The sequence below is a fragment of the Homo sapiens genome, chromosome 1, assembly GCF_000001405.40.
Source record: "Homo sapiens chromosome 1, GRCh38.p14 Primary Assembly".
NCBI classification, from domain to species: domain Eukaryota; kingdom Metazoa; phylum Chordata; class Mammalia; order Primates; family Hominidae; genus Homo; species Homo sapiens.
In genome coordinates, this window is record NC_000001.11 from 164,763,019 (window position 1) to 164,784,623 (window position 21,605).

General features: G+C 43.2%; 1 protein-coding gene and 1 long non-coding RNA gene across 12 annotated transcripts in view; one reads left to right on the top strand and one right to left on the bottom strand.

The window, feature by feature from the left end:
- PBX1 (PBX homeobox 1) overlaps positions 1-21,605 on the top strand; it is a 326,864-nt gene that overhangs the window by 203,835 nt on the left and 101,424 nt on the right. The window lies entirely within an intron of this gene.
- PBX1-AS1 (PBX1 antisense RNA 1) lies at positions 6,098-11,623 on the bottom strand. The gene is made up of 4 exons (NR_038072.1): positions 11,411-11,623; positions 7,309-8,559; positions 6,841-7,098; positions 6,098-6,338 (listed from the first exon to the last, which is right to left on the bottom strand). It is a non-coding gene; the product is annotated as a PBX1 antisense RNA 1 (long non-coding RNA).

The window sequence follows — 21,605 nt, forward strand, 5'->3', positions numbered from 1 at the left end:
ATTCTAAAGGGATAGCTTTTATTTTTCTTAGTTTACAAATGTGAAAACAAACCCAGAGAGGTTAAACAGTCAAAATCACAATTCAAGTCCAATGTGAATGTATTAGGATTAGGTTCAAATGTGAGTAGCTGAAACCACATCCACCCCCTTTCAAAACATAGGAAGTAAGATATAAGCAGTTCAGGGCTGGCAGAGTGGCTCCATAGACCACAAAAAACTTAGGCTCCTTCCTGAGTTTTCACTCAGTCTTCCCTAAAAGGTGATCCTGTGTCATCCTCGTGATCTAAGTTGACTGCTAGAGCTCCAGCCATTCCATCTGCATTCCAGGCATCAGAATGGAGGAAGGGGCAGAGAATAACTGTAGACTTATTCCTTTTAAAAAAGACTTTCTAGCATAATACTTGTACTACCACTTGTATCCCATCAGTTAGGACTTAGTATTACGACTACATTTAGTTACAAGGGAGTCTTGGACATGTAGCTGGGTAAAAATGTTCCAGCTCTTAGAAACGGGGCAAGTTTCTGAAATGTCACTGCACTTGGGTTTAGCTACAGCCTACAGATTTTCCCTAACCAAGAAAGATAGACCGAGGAGTCATTTTAATTGTCTAGATCTGATTTGGAACATAGGTGTCATGTTATACTAGAGAATCTGGCTGAGGGCAAAGGCAAATCTTGATCGTATTAATAAATGTTTGCTGTATTGGGTGTAATTGTACACATTTGCAGCAAGGCACATCCAAAGAGGAGGTGATGTACTTCCCAAGCAACAGCAACACTGAAAAGGGACTGACTCCAATCATGCCATGGTGAGCAATCTGTGGAGACAAGAGTGACCACAAACTCTGAAATAAATTCATAAAGATTAATCTGTGTGCTCCAGGCTACTAAATTCACATTCCCCCTTGGTGTTACTTCCTACTTAAACTTTAATAGAATGGTTTATAGGATTGTGGAGATTTATAGGATCAATTCCTTGGTTATTTGGTGGCCAGTGGTCAGGGAACCTAAATGCCGTATATGACCTCAGTAGATAGGGCTTCTTACTGTCAAAACATTATTTCTGGAGGAAAAAAGAATCCAAATTCCCAAGTACCTGGGCATATACTTTATGCTCTGTAACTCTTGTCAATGAGCTCAGCAAGTGGGGTGTTTTCCCTCAGTTCTTTGTCTTCTATATCAGTTGCCCTAAAGGCTTTAGGAGTTACAATACACACACACATCATACCTCAGAGGTACTGATGGCAAGTAGCTATCTTTGATTTATTTGTATTTTTTAAAGAATAAGATGAAAATAGAGCACTTATATGTTCACGACAGGAAGGATTTTGTGTGTATTTGTGTATCTGTATAATATTTCACATTGTATATCACTTTAGCCTCTTAATATGATTTTCCTTAGGTCACAAATCCATATAGAATATTTGACAGTGTAGCTTGCTCTAATATTTTTGTTGCAGTAATGTGGGGATGACCACATTACTCATAAGTGAGCTCTGCTGGTCTCTTCAGAATGTCAGGAGAAACTTATGGTGCTGCCTGCACCATCACATATTTTATTTAGACCACAGATGTTCAGTCTCATAATTTAGTTGTCTTATTTTGTTACATTTTCAGCTGCATTTTTTCTTTTTCTTATCTTGCCTTTATAATTTTATTGGAATTTGTCTAGTTATAGCCCACCTACATGGAAAAAGACTATTATTTGTGGCAACTTCGGCCCACAAATCTATATATATAACTTGAAATGCGTAGGTTTCTTATCTAAGAAACCTTTGCACAACCCTATAGGAAATGTAGAAGTGTGCATATATCTTTACCATTATTGCAGCTACTGTTTCAGTAGTTTCTGTTGGAACATTTGCAATGACTTCCAAAGATAATATTCTTCTAATTTAAGACTTTGGTTTGGTTTTTATAAGCCAAGTTGTCTTTATTATAATTCTCCTGTGAATTGGTCTTCTTTGGGAAGGAATTTTCTAGCACTGGAGGACAGGTTTCCATATAGTTATAGGTTAAAATACCCTTCCTCCACCCTCACCTTTCCAGCTTAATTGCTTCTGTCAGCGGCCACATATATGGTTGTCAACAGTTTACAGACAGTGATTTAACCCTCAGTTTTAGAAACATATAGAGGTGATGTCTTGACAAAAAAGAGCAAGCAGTATAAAGATGTACATGTAGCCCTACCTACTTCCATGATTTTTGTCTCTGCCCAGCAAGAGTCAGTGTTATCTTTAAAAACAAATTGCTTCTGGTATATGTGCGATAACATGTATGTGTGAGATTGTGCACATGTACATGTGCAGTGGAGTGGGCATCAATGTATTTTACTGATTGAAGAACACAGAATAATTTCTATTCTCATTTGTTTTGGAAACTTGGAACAGGAAGAGGGAACTTGGCTTCATCAATGAAGATGATTGGCTCCCGATAATGGCTCCCTTCTGGTGCCAGATTTAAGGCAGGAAAAAGCAAACAGCTGTTCAAAATGACTTTCACCTAGTAAACACAGGAGAGAAGGCAGCTAACACTTACTGGATGCCTTCTGTGTGCCCAGCTTTAGTCTAATTGCTTTACACATGTTAACTCATTTAAACCTGATGGCAATCCTGTGAGATAAATGTGGTTCTCCCCAGTTTACAGATGAAGAAACAACTGAGGCTTTGAGAAGTGAACTGACTCTCCCAGAGTCAGACAGCTAACAAGAGGCAGAGGAGTTGGAATTTAACTTAGGTCTGTCTCATTATAAAACCATCCAGTTTCCAGGGTACCATGGAAACTTGTGTCACTGTGAGTCAGATACTCTCATTCTGTCAGGGTGTGAAATGCCCCTTAAAATACTGTTATGTGAAATCATAGCTGGTGGCTTTATGCACTATCCTCACTGACTCTGCTAACCTTGTTTGAATAAATTAAAAAATATTTATGAACATGTACCATGCCCCTAGCAAAGTTCTAAATGCCGTTGGGGGAAAAAAGAAGGGTAAAATATGGTCCCTGCCCTTGGATGGGTAACTCTCATTTGGCAATCAGAAAAGCAGTACATGCAGCAGCTGATGGCCATGATGATATTTAATAAATTTGTGACTTGGGTGACAACAGAAACTGAATAACTGTATGACATCATTCAAGCACAAAATCCAGAAGCTGAGAAGGGGGAGATTAGTATATGCTAGGGTGAAGGGAATCTAGAAGGACAGTTTAAATGTGGCTGCATGGAAGGCTGGAAGGAAGACTTGAGAGAAACAGCTGGACTGAGCAGTGATTGTAGAAACATAAAGTGTCATCATTACAGATTTAAGAAGAGTAACATCTGCCTGGCACTTTACAGTTTCCAGAGCACTTTATTTTCTTATTTCTATTTTCTCTCACTTCCATTATTATTGTTATTAATCATCATCACCCCTGCTTTACCTATGAGGAACACCAATCAAGTACCATCCCTTACACATATTGTGCCCTAGGAAGGGCTCCTGAGGAAATAAATAAAAGACTCTCATGCTGAGAGAGAAGCAGCAGGACACTTGCTCATGGTCACACAGCTAGTGAGAAGCAGAGACTTGGCCTTATCCCACGCCCTCTGATTCCAAGTTTGGATAAAAAATAAAGGCTTTTTCTAGAGTTTTATATTCCTTATCAATGGCTTCCAGTTTACAAATGGGTTGTATTCCAGAAATTTTCTTTTCTTTCCTTTTCTTTTATTTATTTATTTATTTATTTTTTTTTTTTTGAGACAGAGTCTGGCTCTGTCACCCAGCCTGGAATGCAGTAGTGTGATCACTGCAACCTTTGCCTCCCGGGTTCAAGCGATTCTCCTGCCTCAGCCTCCTTGAGTAGCTGGGATTACAGGCACGCACCACCATATCCAGCTAATCTTTTTGTATTTTTGGTAGAGACGGGGTTTCACGATGTTGGTCAGGCTGGTCTCGAACTCCCGACCTCGTGATCCGCCCGCCTCAGCCTCCCAAAGTGCTGGGATTACAGGTGTGAGCTTTTATCCTGTTTTTTTTTTCTTTGCAACCTATAACACATTTTCAGGAAGTGTCATAAAGCTAGATTCCAAGGTCCATTTGGACCTATTGCAAAAGAGAATATGCCTTAACTGTGACCTGCTTATTCTGTTTTAATTATGTCTGTTCACTCTTTACAAAATAGTTCTTAATACAAACAATACATTCTGAGGCAGGGCAGACTATATAATTTGTGGGTCCCAGTACAAAAGGAAAATGTCAACTCTTCATTCAAAAATTAAGTATTTCAAGATGGCGTCATCAGAGCATGAAACCAAACACGGGGTCCTTCTGCATGAGGGGCCCTGGGGTTCCACACAGGTCTCATGCTCACAAAGCCAGTGCTTTGGTTTAGAATACAAGGAATACCTTTTTATCCTAGAAATTTTATCAGAGAGTGCGCTGGAGGCATATACATGTGCGGGGCCCGGAGAGGAGGAGTGGACAGGATATGGATTGGATATGGCTTTCTGCGTCCAACTGCACTCTACTCCTAAGTACCAGGAACGTGTTAACTCTCAGTTGCACAAGGAAAAATATCTCTTGATAAGTCATCCCCAAAGAATTCTGATTTGGAGCAAAGGGGAGGATGTAAAAGTGGGAGGTAGTACAAACATCAAAAAAAGAAAAAAAAAAAAGGCTTTCTGTACTCACTGCCAACTCAGATTTGGTTCATTTTCAAGTTTATAAGTTTATTATTATAAGTGTAGATAAGGCTCATTCTTATGTAGAGGTCCCAGTACCTTCCACATATATTTCTGGCACAGAAAAACAGATGGGATAGAAATTTACACAAAAATCACATCTGCCACTCTGGACAATTAAGCAAAACATGAAATTGCAACTAAAAACCACAGGGTATTTAAATAGAACAAGATTTCAAATGAAGGACTCATGTTGTTGAACCAGAATGTGGTTTAACTCTACATCTTCTGAAAAGGGAGGATATTTTTTGGTCTTTCCATATATACTTTTTTTTTTTCCACATCAGTAGATGTGCCTACTTAACGAAAACAACTTTTCTCATTCAGAGAGAGGCTAAGCCAAAATATAGTACTCTTTCGAATCATATTATCTGAAGGGACATGAAAAGGGAGTAAAAAAAACCTAACATTGATTTCACACCAGCCATGTGCTAGGGGCTCAGCAAAACTGCAGACAGCAAGTACAGCCGGCTTTATTTTACAGTTGAGGAAACAAGCTCTGAGATGTCATCCAAGGCCTCCCAGACAATAAGTGCTAGCTTGGGACTTAAGGCTTGAATTCTAAGTCCAAGCTTGTATTCTTCCCACACACCAGACTACCCATCCTGTTCTGAATTCCAACACAAGAAGCCCAGGACACAGAGGGGCACAGGGCCTGCAAAGCAATCCAGCCCCTCAACCTTGCAGGAACCCAATCATCAAGAGGGGAGACCCTACTATTAACATTCTCTGGGTCCTCATGGAGGCTGAGCACTGCTTTATAACTTTGCTTTTGCTCCCTTAAATGTTTCGGAAATGTGACTTGGATTTATAGATTGCAACGGCTTTCCATTGTGTGAAACCCAGTGGTTCCCGATAGAATGGTTCCAGCCAGCAAGAACAGTTGCCTTGTGCTGAGTGTAGCGGAAGAAGACAATAATTGACAGAGAAGCATATCATCTCTTTCTACCCAGTGTACCCAATCCACTCTGCCTCATCTCCCCACCATGGACCTGGAATGTTGTCAACCTACTTGTGTGAGATAAGAAAACTCTCATTAAGAAATCCATTCATCACGCCTGTAATCCCAGCCCTTTGGGAGGCTGAGGCAGGCAGATCACTTGAGGCCAGTAGTTCAAGCCCAGCCTGGGCGATATGGTGAAATCTGTTTCTACTAAAAATACAGAAATTAACTGGGTGTGGTGGCACACGCCTGTAATCCCCCAGCTACTCTAGAGGCTTAGGCATGAGAATTGGTTGAACCCAGGAGGCGGAGGTTGCAGTGAGCTGAGATCACACCACTGCACTCCAGCCTGGGCAACAGGGTGAGACTCTGTCTCAAAAAGAAAAAAAAAAAAGAGGAAAGAAGGAAAGAAGGAAGGCAGGCCAGCCATTCAAATTGATTCGAACATCAGATTCTTTGAACTTGCACATGTGATGTGGTTTGACTCCCTTATAAATACATCGAATTTGGTGGCTTAAAGCTTTAGAGTGGATCATGAAGAATCTCACAGGGGTCAAATGAGACTCTGGCCCCAAATTATGGATCTGTACTTGGGGTACATTTTCTTTCCTGGCCCCTACAAAGGTGAGCAGAAGACACATTTCCTTTGGTGTCAGAAGTGGCTTCATCTTTGTGGTCCTGCAGGGTAAAGTGTGACACAAGAGAAGACTTAGGTCCAGAAGATGCTATACATAAAGTGGGGAAAGCACCTTGCCCCTAATGAAGGCCCCTGAGACATGCACTCTTTTCTGCCCTTCACATGATGAAGTCTCACTTTGACATTTATTAAATGGGCCCGGTAGAACCAGTCCTCTCCTAAGGCTGTTGTAAGGACCAGATGAGGTCTTGTGTGTGCTGTACAAATGGGAATGACACCATCATAACCAGGAAGATTGAGTTGGAGTTGGAAATCTAGGGAGCATGGCAAATGTGGACCTTGAGCCAACTTTTATTACTGTGGCACCAAATCATTTATGAATAACTTATATATAAGTGATGAAACTCTATAGTACTAAAAGGAACTTGGTTCCAGTCACTTGCCCTCATGCCCTTACTCCATTTTGGTCTATAAAAAAAGTCAGTGCTCATGTTGATTCCCACACTTTCTCTCTGCTTGCCTGCACCTATTCCAGTTACCTACCTTTTGACTCCCTTTTTTTAGCTTTCAGATGGTAACTGACTTGAGACCAGTACATCCCTGCACATAAGCAGACAGTCCATGCTTATCTGAATTCCTGGTGTAAGCCCAGGGTAGTGCAAAGAGCATGGACATTGAAGAACTGCACTTGCGTAAGCTGTAACTTTGAACTTATTTTCCTAAAAAATAGGCATCCAGGATCTACTTCTGAAGCTTGATGTGTGGGTCAGCATAGACAATGTAGGTGAGATAAAATGAAAGCTGTTGGGAAGGTATAAAATACTATCAAAATAAAGAAGTCTAAATTGATATTCAAAGGCTATCTGACTATCTCTGCCTTTTTAGAGAATGCTTGTTTTCCAGGTCCGTGTCTTAGCCCTCCCAGACCCATCTCTGCTCTTTATAGATAAAGTTGAGTGACTTTCCCAAGATTACAAAGATCAAGAGTGGCAGACCAAGGACATCTCTCACTTGAAAACTAGGGCTCTTTTCACTGTAGCCAGCTCTTTGTTGGGAAATCTTCATAATCAGTGTCACCTTCTGTGCTCCAACTCCTCAGCCTCACGCTTGGGTGAACACTTCCTTCCCTTCTTGACCATTGCAGGCTAGTGCCATTCTCTTCTTCAGTTTTCATTGCTGGGATGTCTTGCAGCATGATGCCTTAGCTGTTCTGTATCTATGGGGGTCCATCATTTTCCCCTTAAGGATCTTCTCCTATAGGGTGCAATTATGCAGTTATCTTACTGGCTCATCTCTATTTTCTGCTATAACTTTTGAAGTGCATCACCGTCTCTAACTGTTTGTACTGGCGGCTCAGAGAATTTCCTTGAGCAAAGTGCATTTCTGAAGCCAAGTCCCAGCACTGCCATGTCTTTTGATGCCCTTGGTCTCCTTTCTCAGATGTGAGTAAAAATATTGGTGTTAATTACATAGGCTTGAGATACATGCAAAGAAGAGGGTGAAGACAGCCGTGACCTCTGAAAGAGAGGCATAGGTCAGTAAAAGATGCATTCATTCCAAAGACTGCTGCTTGTCCTGTGTTGGGCCAATCCTTTTCAGCAAGGTAATTTAAATTTAAAGTCAGCATTCTCCTGATTCTGTTTCCTAAAGGTTCCAGCTTTCATAGGATGGGTACACTTCACTCCCAGGCCTCCTGGGAGGCCTCCTCTACCCTTCCTCTACCGTTTTCTTGCTTCTCCCTAAAAACCTTGAAGATATGGAATACTTCCTGCCTACATCTTCAACTCAGAGACCGCCAGGGGATTTCAGTGTTTATTGCTTTTTTCTCTGGGTTTGGAACAGTTCCGACCAGGTACTATTTGAAAAATGTAGAAGTATTTTTTTGCTTATTATCAAAAGGAGAATGTAGTTTTCTTGCAACAAAATGAGAACTTGATATCTTTCTTGCCTCGAGGGTGTGTGTTGGGAGACGGGGGTGGTGTTCAGCCTTCTCTTCCTCCACCTCTGTATCCTGGTAGCCAGAATTGAAGTTCCAAGCCACACCAAGGAGGGTGGCTGCCTTTCATGAAAGGCAGACATGTAGTAATTACCTTTTTGCCTATCTGCCGCCGTCCCCTTGTGCTGAGGGGGTTCCCTTGCCGCTCTGTCTGTTGTCTGCACACTGCATTTGTTTGTCTGGAATGCAGAACTCCTTGCACTTGACAATCACTACAGTCTTTCTGCTTTTTCTCTTAAACAGCTTTTTTAAAGCACCCAGAGACCCTTAAAAAAAAAAAAAGAATGCAAATAGAAATTGCGCTGGAAGCTGAACTGAACATTGTTGCGAGTCATGAGATCCCAGCCACACTGGGACAAACTATTTTTTATTTTGGGTAATATTTTTTCTTTGGCATTTATTACACCTCTGTTAAACACAGCTCATGTGACACAGTGTTACTCATAGGCAATCAGAAAAAAGCTGAAAGTTGAGCCATTAGTAGGGCAGGGCAACTTATTGTTAATAGCAGCCATTAAAGCTGAAAGGAAAAATTACCCATCTGCCCCCGCCAGACCTGTCTGTCTGAGATCGAGATTGGGCCTCCAGGCCGGAAGGGGGGCTGGGCAAACATGAGGGAAGGAGAATGGAATGTAGAAACCGAGATCTTTGTAAGGGAAGATAGAGCTGAATTCAAGTGTGGGCCCTACCCCAAGAATAGGGGGGAAAAAAATCCTGCCCCAAGAATTCCAGCTGTCCTTTGTCTGTTCATCCTTTCTCAGGAAAGCACCTGATAGCTTTTATCCAAAGATCTGCTGCAAAATCCATTTTAGCTACAGACAGGAAATGCAAAAGAAAGATTCCTGTAGCAACAACACCTTGTAATTATGAAATACTTTCCATCACAGTGCATAACATATAGCAGATTTACTACACCAAAATTCTTTGCCGTTAGATCTTGGGGTACAGCAGTGAAATTTTCTCTATCTTTAAAAGAACATGTGGTTTAAACCCCTTTCAGGCATTTTAAATCCTAGCCAAAGGTGCAACACCGTTTACCAACTCTGACAAGCCACTCTAAAAGTGTGCTTGTTTGATGGGGCCATATCAGATATCACATAGGAAAATAAATTTGAGAGGGCTTTGCCACGAGTATGTTTATAAAACTCACAACTGGTCTGGAAAAAGAAAGGCAAGTGGCCCATTTTACAGATGGTGCTAACACACTCCAGTGCAGAGAGTGACTGTTGTCACCAGGATCACATATCAATTTGGAAAATTGTAATAGAAACCAGACTTGTGGCTTGGAGTATAGCCCCTGAAAGGGACTAGGACAGCCCACTCCCCTGCCCTGTCCTCCTTACACCTTAAAAGGGACAGTGATTGGGGACTATTGCTGCCCCGCGTGCTTTTTCAGGCAGAGATATCAGAATGAGGTCTGAAAGGATAGTTGGGTGGCCCCAGAGAAGACCTCCACGGCTGGCTAAGAGTCTGAGCATTGCTGGCAGTACTTAGCATTTAGGCTACCCTGAGTGCATGCCTGGCTCATGATAAGTGGTTAGGCCTGTCAGAGGCGGGAGGTGCCTGCTGACTCAGACCCAGAGAGGTGACTCCTACTCTTGAGTGTCTGATTTCTCAGATATGACCATATCCAGTTCTGGGCTCCAGCCCTGACCTGTTCCTTGGCTATCAGAACTATCATAAGGCCAGATCAGCTTAACTCATCTCCAAGGTAATTCTTGGTAGATTTTGGTTCCTTCTTGCATTTTGTGGCTTTGTCCCACTAAGAGCAGTTGTTCTCAGCCCTCTGTACTGGTGGCACAATTTTGAATACTGTAATTATTTTGGTTGCATTTTGGAATGAATTTAAAGTTCTCGCAAAGGATCTTCAGCTCCATGTCACTCATCAGAGCTCTTTTCTATTTTCCAGCTCTTGCATATAGGTAACACGCGCACACACACACACACACACACACACACACAGAGTTTTTCTTGATATGCTGTCTCTTGCCTTCCACTGTCAGATCGTAACCTGATAGACTGAATTGAGTGACCCACTCACACTCAGCTCAGCATTCCTATTTCAAACACTGCTGACACACGGTATATCTTCATGTGTACCAGCAATCAGACTGTAGTCAATTAAATTGTTTTGAAAATTAGGTTTATGCACTTATCAGTTGTTTGAGAGTCTGGCAGTTTTGGCCTTAAGAGTTCCCTGTCAAAGACTATGGCGTGAAAGATCACTGCTTTCAGGCTTCTATGCTGTGATTAAATGTGGAGAGTGGTTTTGGGGACATGTGTCTTAAGGGATAAGCTAGTGAGGAATAGGTTGGGACTGGTAGGACGAGCGGCCTGTGGCACATTTCAGAGCCCTCAACCGTACCCCACACTGCATGGGCCATGACTCTCTCTTCACCCATGGATCATCTCTAGAGGGGATTCATGATGTCACCTGGAGTCTCTGCTCTCTCCAAGTGTACTGGAAAGGATTGGGTGTTGGGAAGGCATTGGAAAGCTGGTATTAGAAGAGTTAGCTGGGGAGAGATTTGACTGAAGAGAAGGAAGCGTGTTTGCAGTGTTAACGCAGTGGATCTGCCTCAAGAGGCCCAGAACTTAAGAAAGCCAGGAAGCTATTTTTCTACGACTCCCCATGTTAGTGAAGGCAATTTTTTAACGTGATATCCACTTTGAATTCTTTGATCTTTAAGAAATATGAGTAAGAGAAAAGGATAGATGGCAAGATAGATGAGGAACTTCAGAGGGGGCTAAGATTACTTTAAGGGAAAGCTAATGAGTTGTTGAATTGTTTTACATAGTGGGGTGCTATGAATAGGATGTTAAGGAAAGTTCTTCACAAATAAATGACAGAATAAAAAAAAAATAAACCTAACATAAGACAATTTTCTTTTTCAGCAAGGCACAGGGTTCTTTGGGAAGCTTCAAAAAATTCAAAAGTCATAGTGCCTTTTTTCATGGAATTCACTAAGTAGAGACTTTTTTGTAGGCATATCATTAAATGCTGGACTCTCAAGTTTTCGAAATGAGAAGTCTCCATCTGGGAGGTATAAAAGGAAACCCCCATCTGGTTGGTTTTAGCATCTTCAAGGTGAGGATACAATTCTTAAAATTGTCTACCTATTTCTGAGTCCTGGTTCAAATTCCTTTGTGATGTCTATGTCAGCTGGGACCCTGTAGGCCCCACTGAGTTGCACATCACCAAGTGTGCCCATCACTGTGGTTAGAGGCCGTGGGCTGTGTACTACAGACAATGCTGTAATTGCTTCTGTGACCAAGTGAGGGCGGAGTTTGCCCTTTATGTGATGTAGGCAATATTCTATTTTTAATAAGCCAGAAAAATCTGTTCAAATCCAGTAACTTCAAGATTTTCCAAAGACTGGAAGATGTGGAGGACGTGGGCATCAGCTGGAATCTGATTTCTCTCCCCTCCACACTTGCTCTTCCCCATTTCTCAACTGCTGTCTCCCAGTGTAATTACCATCTCAAGCATTTTCTGTTCGTCCCCTGTAGGTACACCACATCGTGCCAACAACCCATGGCCCAGCAGGAATATACAGTAGCCTTTGCCAGGGTCCACCAGGGCTTGATTACACTTCACGGCTGTAATTCAAGCCTGCTAATCCTCCTCTGCGTTCGGAAAAGAGGCCTGTTCTGTTAGATAAGCTGATTACTGTCTGGTGTGTGCTTCATGCCTAGCAAGAGTTGTTTATATGTGGAATTATTGCTGGCTGGGCTCTGTGCTTCGCTACACCGAGGAAGCTCGCTTAGGGGTCAGGGGTGTCAGGCTTCACCTCTGATCTGGGAGGGGTGAGAAGTGGAGTGTTGATTACAGCTGTTTTTCTCTCAACCTCTGTGCTGGTGGCTAAATATTTACTTTTCTCTGTTAACGGAAGGAGCCAGATAAGATTTTAAGAGTCTGAGACTTTTGCCCCTAGGACCCACTGTCAAAGATCATAGAGTGAAAGATCACTGCCCCAGACTTGCCACATTCTGATTAGGTTTGCAAGGCGATCTTAGTGGTCTTTTTGTCTTTAGGGCTACGTTAGGGAGGACTATGGCGGGACAAGTTGAGTGTGTGGTGAAATCAACAGCCACAGATTGAAGAGTGCCCGACCACAGGGAAAGGATGCCCGCAGAGACCATGTGAATGCTTTCTCACACTCAAAGATGTTTTCTTCAAAGCCACAGAAGCCTTGAAACCACCTTTGCCTCTGCCTACCAGCCCATCTCTGGTCTGGTGTGGAGCTTGTGGCTTGGGTGCAGTCTACGAAGCCCTTGCTCTTCATGGAGGAGGAAGTGCATTTTGTTATAACCGTCTGCCCAGTGATGTTGGCGTGATTTATGCTGGCTGCACTCTCAGGATTCCCATCCCTTTTGCGGGGTATTTTGTCCCCAGATGCAGAGCTGAGGTTCTGCTTAATACTGGCTTTTAAGTGTTTAAGCCCTACAAATGGCTATTCGGTTTAATGGTGTAAGGATGGGGTGAGTGCTGAAACAAGTACAGGTAAACACAAGCACCTGGCCCTTGTCACCTGCTGCATGGGCATACATTGGGGTCTGTTTGTATATTTGAATATGTGGCAGTCTACACTGGAGTAAGGAAATAAGGATGAATGTCAAAAGGCTTAATTGTGATGATATCACAATTGAGGCCATTTGTTGAGTAAACTTCCTCCACATCTCTGTATACTAATAATCGGTTTGTCAGCTTTTCTCTATGACACTATCATTTCCTTTAGGGCAGGCACTTTGTCTTTCATTTCTGTGACCGTTACCTGTCTGGCCCATAGTAACCAATCAAGGAATGGGTCTTTGATTTAGTGTATGAATAATTAATAGATTTCAGTGAAGAGGCAGCCTATCCTAGATTGAATGCGCGGTATAAATTGTTAGGTATTTATCATAGCTCATTGTACGTGGGTTCCTTCCCAGGTACCTTTCTTGCCTTTCTTTCTAGGAAGCAGAGAATCCGCATCCCCAGAAACATGGGTGTTCCTTAGGTGTAAAGGGCATGGCCAGCTAAAGGCAGAACAGAAAAGCTGCTCTGGAAGGGGTACTGGGCGGCTGTGGCATGTGATTTAGAAGGAAGGGGTGCTGTGCTATGTCCTCACTGCTGAGACATCTGGGCCACATAATACCTCTTGATCCACAAATATCTTGAGTGTTATCTCCCTCTTTTCTTTTGCCATTCCCACCCCTCTTTTTCCTTTTTGAGTCCTCTTTGTTTTTCATCTAAAGTGTTCTCTTCCCTTTGCCTTTTCTAGGGAAATACTTGTCCCTTAAAGATCAGCATATTCTCCAAATGGATGAATTGTGCCCCAAGGGGGATTTCTTTTCCTAGTGACTTTAATTTCTAGTCTTAGAACATATCCAAAAGGAAACACAGAAGTGCAAAGTTTTAAGCCTAACTTGAGCAATAAAAGATTTCTTTTCTGTGCAATGATTAACTTTCCCTTCTTTAATTTCAAGAGGTTAATGAATCTGTGAGCTTAGTATACTTGTCATTGTACATATGGCTTGTCATTGTATGTATGGCTGGGCTAAAATTTAATATTGAATCTCTGCAGTAAATCTTGTGGTTTTACATTTGTGTGTGTGTGTGTGTGTGTGTGTGTGTGTGTGTGGTGGGAGGAGAGAGAGAGAGAGAGAGAGAGAGAGAGAGAGAGAGGAGGTGTGGGGGGGCGGGGGGCTGCCATCCAGAAGATGGAGGTACAAGTAATGGAAGCTTTTTTTCTTCTCCCTACATATGAACTGAATAAATGCTTGGCCGTCAACAGAATAATAGTTTCGGAAAACCACACCTTGAAATTCACCTTAGCATCTTTGAAATAATCTCAGGAGGGACTGGGCATGGTGGCTCATGCCTGTAATCCCAGCACTTTGGGAGGATCAGTTGAGGCCAGGAGTTCAAGACCAGCCTGGCCAATATGGCAAAACTCCGTCTGTACTAAAAATACAAAAACTAGCCAGGCATGGTGGCACGCACCTGTAGTCACAGCCACCTGGGAGGCTGAGGTGGGAGAATCGCTTGAACCCGGGAGGCGGAGGCTGCAGTGAGCCAAGATCTGGCCACTGCACTCCACCCTGGGCTACAGAGTGAGACCCTGCCTCAAACAACAACAACAAAATCTCAGGAGGTTTTAAGGGTCGAGAGATGAACAGCAAGGCTGCATTCCAGAGACTCTGACCATAAAGCTAAACTCTGAGCATTTTCTCACAGGATGTAATCACTGACTATGGTATTTCAAAAGTCTAGGGTCCTGCCACTGTCACAGGACTACAGTAGTAGCAAACAAAGGAGGGCGGAATTAAGAAAATCTCTGCTTTTTATTCTGTTCATAATTATTTACATCCCTGTCACTTAAAGGCTGGATAACTACCTGTCTGATCTCCAACCTGTTGTTGCCATCCTGTCCTCAGTTTTGCAATCAGCAGCATTGTTTGAATGTTTACCTAAAGCAGAAATCTCTTAGTCTATACCAACGTCAGTTCCCTGGGATTCCCTCTAGAAGAGGAAAGAGAACTATGTGAACATAATTCACATTGGTTTGCAGAATCTTAAAATTAGCTAGTTTACTTTAGGCTGAAATGACTCCATAACCTTCTGGTTTTTTGCAGGAAAAAGAAGTATACATTATATATACCTTTGACAACCTTGATACAAGTGTTAGATGCTTCTTTCATTGGAAACCTTCAAAATGCCTTTCCTCTCAGTTTTTCTGAGCCCACCTGTTATTTTGGTTACATATGAAGGTAGGGAGGTGGCCCCATAATTCTGGTTGGCAAATTGGGAACAGAGCCTGGAACTGGAGGATATCTCCTGCTGGGTGATGCTGAACATTAAGACCAAGGTCTTACAACAGCAACTCAGTGCTATTCATTACCAAACAGATCAAAAACTGGGTAACTTTTGTTTCACTTCCATATCTCCTGTCCCAAAAAGTGAAGTCAAATTCAGCATTAAAAAAAAGTGTTTGCACAACTGTAATTTTTGATGGTGTGGTGTAGAAACAAATACCATGTCTGTTTGGTTTGCTTTAAGACATAATAGACCAGGTGCAGTGGCTCACACCTGTAATCCCAACACTTTGGGAGGCCAAGACAGGAGGATCACTTGAGCTCAGGATGTCAAGACCAGCCTGGGCAAAATAGGGAGGCCCTATCTCTACAGAAAAAGTAGCCGGGCGTGGTAGTGTGTGCCTGTAGTCCCAGCTACTTGGGAGGCTGATGTGGGAGGATTGCTTGGACGTGGGAGGTCGAGGCTGCAATGAGCTGTGATTGCACCACTGCACTCCAGCCTGGACAACAGAGTGAGACCCTTTCTCAAAAAAAAAAAAAAGAAGAACAGGTTAAGAGTGTGAAGCTGAGAAAACTACATGTGTGTCGTTAGTAGTTTTTCTTGGTTTAGGCTAGTTCAGGAAAACAGAAATGAAATTCTGCAAAAGGCAGCATGAAAGTCCACATTGGCCTTCATCCCGTGAAACTCTGCCAGCTGCTACTTGGGGTTCAACCCTATTCTTTCTTCAGGGCACCGCCTTTGCTTGCTATCAACCTTGCTACAATTGGAGGCAGCTGTGAGGTAGGGAGAACACCCTGAGTGAAGTCAACTGCAGAACTAAGTATGTGCCCTTGGGCCACTTTGACTCCCAGTACCTCAGTTTCCTCATCTGACTAAAAAAGGGTTAATAATACCCCATAACGTTCATGTGAGAATAAAAGCAAAGGAGATAATTTTTTTTTTTTTTTTTTTGAGACGGAGTCTCACTCTGTCCCCCAGGCTGGAGTGCAGTGGCGCTATCTCGGCTCACTGCAAGTCAAAGGAGGTAATTTTTGACAATGGATTTGTAAGGTTTAATTTCCATGAAAGAAAATATGGCGTATTTAGTTCTTCTCTACCACATTGTCCACATACCTGTTCTAGCAATTTCACTTTGTATATTAGCTCTTTCCCCCATGATTCTGCACACTTGTCTTATTTCTGGTCAAGTTTCCCCAGCTGAAATATAGGTTCTGTCAAAGAGTAGATCCTCAGTATATTATGTTGAATGAACAACTGACCGAGAGACCAACTGGGGTCCTTGTTGGAGTAGCAATGTTGGCAAAATTGTGCAGCCCAGTCACACTTTGTGCGGGTTGAGAGATTTTTATTTTAACTGAGCTGTAAGGCTGTCACTGAACATAAGTGGACATGACCAGTCTGGCAGAGTCAAACAGAGTGCTGCTAGAAAGCAGGCAGCACCGAAAGAGAAAAGCAAATTTGGCTTCTAAGATGACCATATGTCTGTTACCCCAGAAAGCATGAGCCCCTGCAAAGTTCTCTGCTGAAGTGGGGAGAGTTGGAGCCTCCTGTCTGTTCTGCAAAGGATTTGCAGGGTGCTTAGCATGCTGGCCCCAGTGTCCTCATGGAAATACGGATGGCTTGCTAGGGGCTGTCCCATACAACCAGAGTGGGGTTCAATGAAGTGCCATCAACAAGGTGCCTACGAAGGGCCATGCTAATGTCTGGCCAGTGAAACAGGGGAACTTCCAGAGCAGATATCACATGGGTTGGAGAGATGTTGCTTTACACAGTGAGCAGGAAAGCCAGACACCTCTTCAGAGAAATACAGTAAGAACCACAGTAAATAAGGCCCAGCCTCAGGGAGGCAGATATTTAAAGGAAAATTAAGACGGCTCCTCATCTATCTCTCTGTCACCCGTTGATGCATTTAGCCAGCATCTTGTGGTGCTAAATGCTTTTTGATGATGATGGTTCATGATGACCACTGTATCTCCCCACAGGGGTGGGCGCCTCCGATGTGAGAGTTCTTAGTGGGGGGCTCCATCTCCAGTGCACAGAAAGAAGGAATGGTCCAGAGACCCCCTGCTCTCCCCAAATTCCCGATTTTACCAGCATGTAAAAGCAAGTGGAGGCAACAACCACCACAAAAAAGCCCGTCTGAAAATCAGAGCCTAATCACTCCCATCTGCTCCAGTGCTGCTTCCTCTCGCTGCCTGCCAGGATGTTTGCCGCAGATGCTAAGTAGCACATTATTTTCGATAAGTTGCAATCATTTACTTGAAATCTACTTCTCCTTTAAAATGTCCCCCTGGAAACTTGAATCGGCAGTCGAGAAGCCTTGTTCAGGATGGAATTTGAATGCTCGCACTCAAGTTCAAGAAAAGTTAAACCCATTTGACCTCCAGGTGTTGATGAATTGTAAATTTCAGCCCCTTAGACTCTGTTGAGAAGAGAGGAAGAGGCACCAGGGAAGACGTCTGGGAGAACAGAGCCATTCCTTAGGCCTCATTTCCCCAAGGGAAGGCACAGTGCTGAGATGAGAGACAGGAAATGATGGCTCCATGGAATCGTCCCCAAAGCAGAAATGTCACACATCCCCGAAGACATTAAGTCAGTAGCTTTCTTGGTCCCCATGAGATGTTATCTCTTTTATCCAGAGACTGGTCTAGTGAAGATTAAAGGCATAATTTGCAATCTGGAGCTCATAATCTCAGTCGCCCTTACCCCATTCCACTGTCACAACTAGGATTTCTTATTTACTGCCTCTTGTCCAGGACACCGTTAGTATCACCGTTAGTATCATGTCCTGCCATCCGCTCTTCCCTGTCAGTTAAAGGCTTAGTGCGTTCAGGGGCTACTTGGAAAGTTCTGAGAAGCAGCAAATGCCTCCTGCTTTTCATGCAGCCTGTTTGCCTGTGTGTTCCGTGGCTCCTTGTGTCTAAGGACAGCACGAGTGACTCATTAGCAGCACGGCATGTGCTTGGGGTGGTTTTTGTAATGAGTGGTGATGGATCATCCACATACTCTCCCTGAAGGACCCTGACTGACCTTGTATGCATTTGTGAGATGACTGTCTGGGGTCACAGGTGTTGTTTGTGGTCATGGAAAAAGAAAAGCTAATTGGCGTGTGTTTTGAAATGGACCTGGGGCACCCATAAATAGACCCAGTGTCCTTCAGCTGGAGAATTCTGCTTCCACTAAAGTGAACAGAGGTGATTTCTCCTCTAAGTAGGGTGCATTGGGATCTCTCTTCCAATCCTCTGTACCTGACAAATTGAGCAGGCTGGTTAGAGTAAAAACCTGATTTTATTAGTATAGTGTAAGGAAACATCCCACTACAAGATATAGATCAATATATGCAGAAAGGCAAATTACAGGTACTCAGCCTAAAGTAATTTGTTAGAACTTGGTCTCACAGGTTTACAGTTTAGTCCACCTTAGAATTCCCTTGGTCAAGATAGAGTCTTCTCTTCTACTCCCTCATCACAGAGGCTCTTGGCTGGTTTCCATATACAGCCACTCCTCACCACCTACCACTGTATTCTCAGTCTAAACTCCTCAAGGGCACCCGATACCCTCACTAGGTGATGTCTTTCCCTGTTCCCTCATCCCGGACTTCCTGGGCCTTCTTTTGCCTCTGCTGATAGCCGTGGTAGTACCCAAGAGAGGCCCCTCTAATGACCAAGGTCTCTTTGATCTGTTCTAAAACCTCCTCTTTTTGCCAGGAGTTCCCCACAGTGACTACTCAGGTTTTTCTGTGACTTGCCTCTGGTTATTAAATCTGCCTTTTTCTAATTTTCTCTGTAATACTCTACATGAGATCACTGTGCAATACTCTACATGAAAACACTCTGCCTTCTAGATTTTTATCTTATTTTTAGAAATAATTTGTATTAGCTTAGATTGGTTAAGCTGTCTAAAGCAAACAAAACAAAACCCTCTGAAAAACCCCAAAATAACATGGCTTAAACAAAATACAAGTTTATTTTTTCCCTTCTTTCTTATAGCCCAAAGATGACTGGTGGGCTGGTCTCCAGGGTGTGAGAACTCCCATCTGGCTTCTTTCCCTAGAGTGGCTTCCAGTGCCCAGCCCAGCTCATGGGCCGGGGGATGGGGGAGCTGCAGAAGGGATGGAGTGATTTAGAGTACTGCACCTTGTTGCCCTACTCTAGGCTACTGGTAACCCTGGCTGGAATTTGCTGTTTGGCATCAGTGACATCATTTCCTCTGTCTGTCCTTGGTCTGCACACCTCTGTCTATGGCTGTCACCTGGCAGAGGTTTGCATTTCAATCTTATTGGGAAGGAATCCTGGTCTAGCAGGGAGAAGGTGTATCATATTATCAGTGGTAGGTCTCGTCTCCTGTGATCTGTAGAACTGGAAGTAATCATGGATCGCGTTAAGACTAAATGATCGACGAATTCTGTAAGGACTGCTCAAGGTCAATAGCTCATTGTATTAGGAACCCTGCCTTTGAATTATTCAGCAATTTTCAAAAACTGGGAAATATTCCTGTGGGAGCAAAATGTTCTTTATTTCAAACTTAGTTCTGATGAAATTGTTTGGAAAGTTAGAGAAAAACTAGTTCTGTTCCTATTCAGTTTGTAGATATGGGCCGGAAAATGCCATTTGCCACTAGGAGCTGGAAGCTAATTTGTAGCCTCAAGACAGTAGTGACAACGGCAGCGGGGTAAGACAACATGGAGGTGTGCACAGCCCAGGCAAGTCGTTGTAATATTTCACCCATGGGGTTTCTCTACATCCTGGCGGAGAAGGGTGATTGTGAATCACAGATCCCACCCAGAATCAAAACTTAAACATGCTTCCTCAAACCTTTGAGTACAAATAGTGTCTTTACCCTCTTCTGGTTATAATTTATTTATTTTTTAATGGAAATTTGAAAGCAGCCATTAAAGATGACTTCCAGGCCAGCTCGTCTGACACAAGGTGAGATTACTTCAGAACTAAGTGGTTCCCAGAAGGGTCTTCCAGCCTCAGAAAGACCGAGGCTTCCAGTGTGAGCTCTGCCAGGCCAGGAGGATGGTGTCGCCTCTGGCTCAGGGGAGACTAGGGTTGAAGACTGTGGCATCTCCTCTGAGTGAAGACTTAAGAAGCTGCAGGATCCTTAATGTACTTGGGCAAATAGCAAGAAAGGACTATAAAGAGGAGAAAAGATGAGAGAAAGAAGACCTTTTGAAATGTATTCTATTGGCTGAGGATCTATGGATTCCTTAGCCTTTGACGGTATCAGTGTGAGCTTGCCTGGAAGCATAGGTCAGTAAGGTGGGGGTGGGGGGTGTCTGTGTGCATTTGTGTGCGTGCGTGTATGTGTGTATGTATATTCTTGGCTTATCCTGGTTTCTTCTGTGTTGTTGATTCCTAACGCGCAGAAAAACCAAACTCTTAACTCTAAATCTATCCTGCTTTTTTATTCTTCCCAAAGGGATCTTTATCAGTGAGATTGATTCAGATTTAACCAAAAATCTAAAATCTATCAGTCACCAAGCACTACTGTGTGCTTTTGTAAAAATAACCTTATTTAATCCTTAGTAAGAATTAAGGCATAGGTGAAGTCGTGTAGTAGGAGTCTTGGGCCTGGCTTTGAACCTAGACACCCAAGGCCTGTTTTAGTGTACGTTTTTTTTTGTGCCATGCTGTGGCACTAACAGAAGAAAGCTCGTGCCCATACTTATACTTTTCTAGGTATTAAAATGTGGTAGGACAAGGAAATCTATCATGTATTAGCTCTTGCCAGAAAGCAGGCAATGTGCTAGGTGCCTCACTGAGACTCGGAACTGCAGAACATTTTTACCTCAAGGCTAAAGAGTATTGAGAAACTTCTGTTTTCTCTATGGTTGCTTCCTTTAGGAAATACCATTGTAGAGAGAAGCTTTCATCTCCACGGAATGCACAGCAAGTTGCCGACCAATGGCTCCACATTTTTCATGCTTTTTATGTGTAACTAAGAAGGAAACTGTTCCTTGTATCATGGGTTACCACAGGCAATCCAGGTCTCACACACCCTTCCCTGGCCCTGGTCCTGGTCCTGGCCTTCTGTCTTTCCGATGGCTTTCCCCCTTTCCTCATACCTCTGGGTATGTCAGTCTAAGGCCAAAGCTTGTGTAAGTCATGCCCTCCTACCAACTTCTGTAGCTCCTGTTTAGGCAAAGGGGTTTCCCGAGCAGCAGTCCAGACTTGAGCTATTAAGGACCAAAGCCCCTCGCCCAGGCAGCCGGCACCCATCCAGAAAGGCAGGGGCCTATCGCCCAGCACATTAGCTTTCTCCCTGCCAGCTGGCCCAGGGAGGCGCAGCGTGCCAAGTGGGGAACGTGTGAATGGGATCCATGCCCATGCATCCCCTGAGAAGTAGAAAATGCACGTGACCAGAACCGCCAAAACCTAACCCAGGGAAAAAGATGACAAGAAAAACTTGGTGTGTTTCTCTAAAGACAACCACAAAACATAAACAAACAAACAAAAACCTAAAACTGTCTCAAGAGTGTCATATAATTTTGTTTTCATCTCTTGCCCT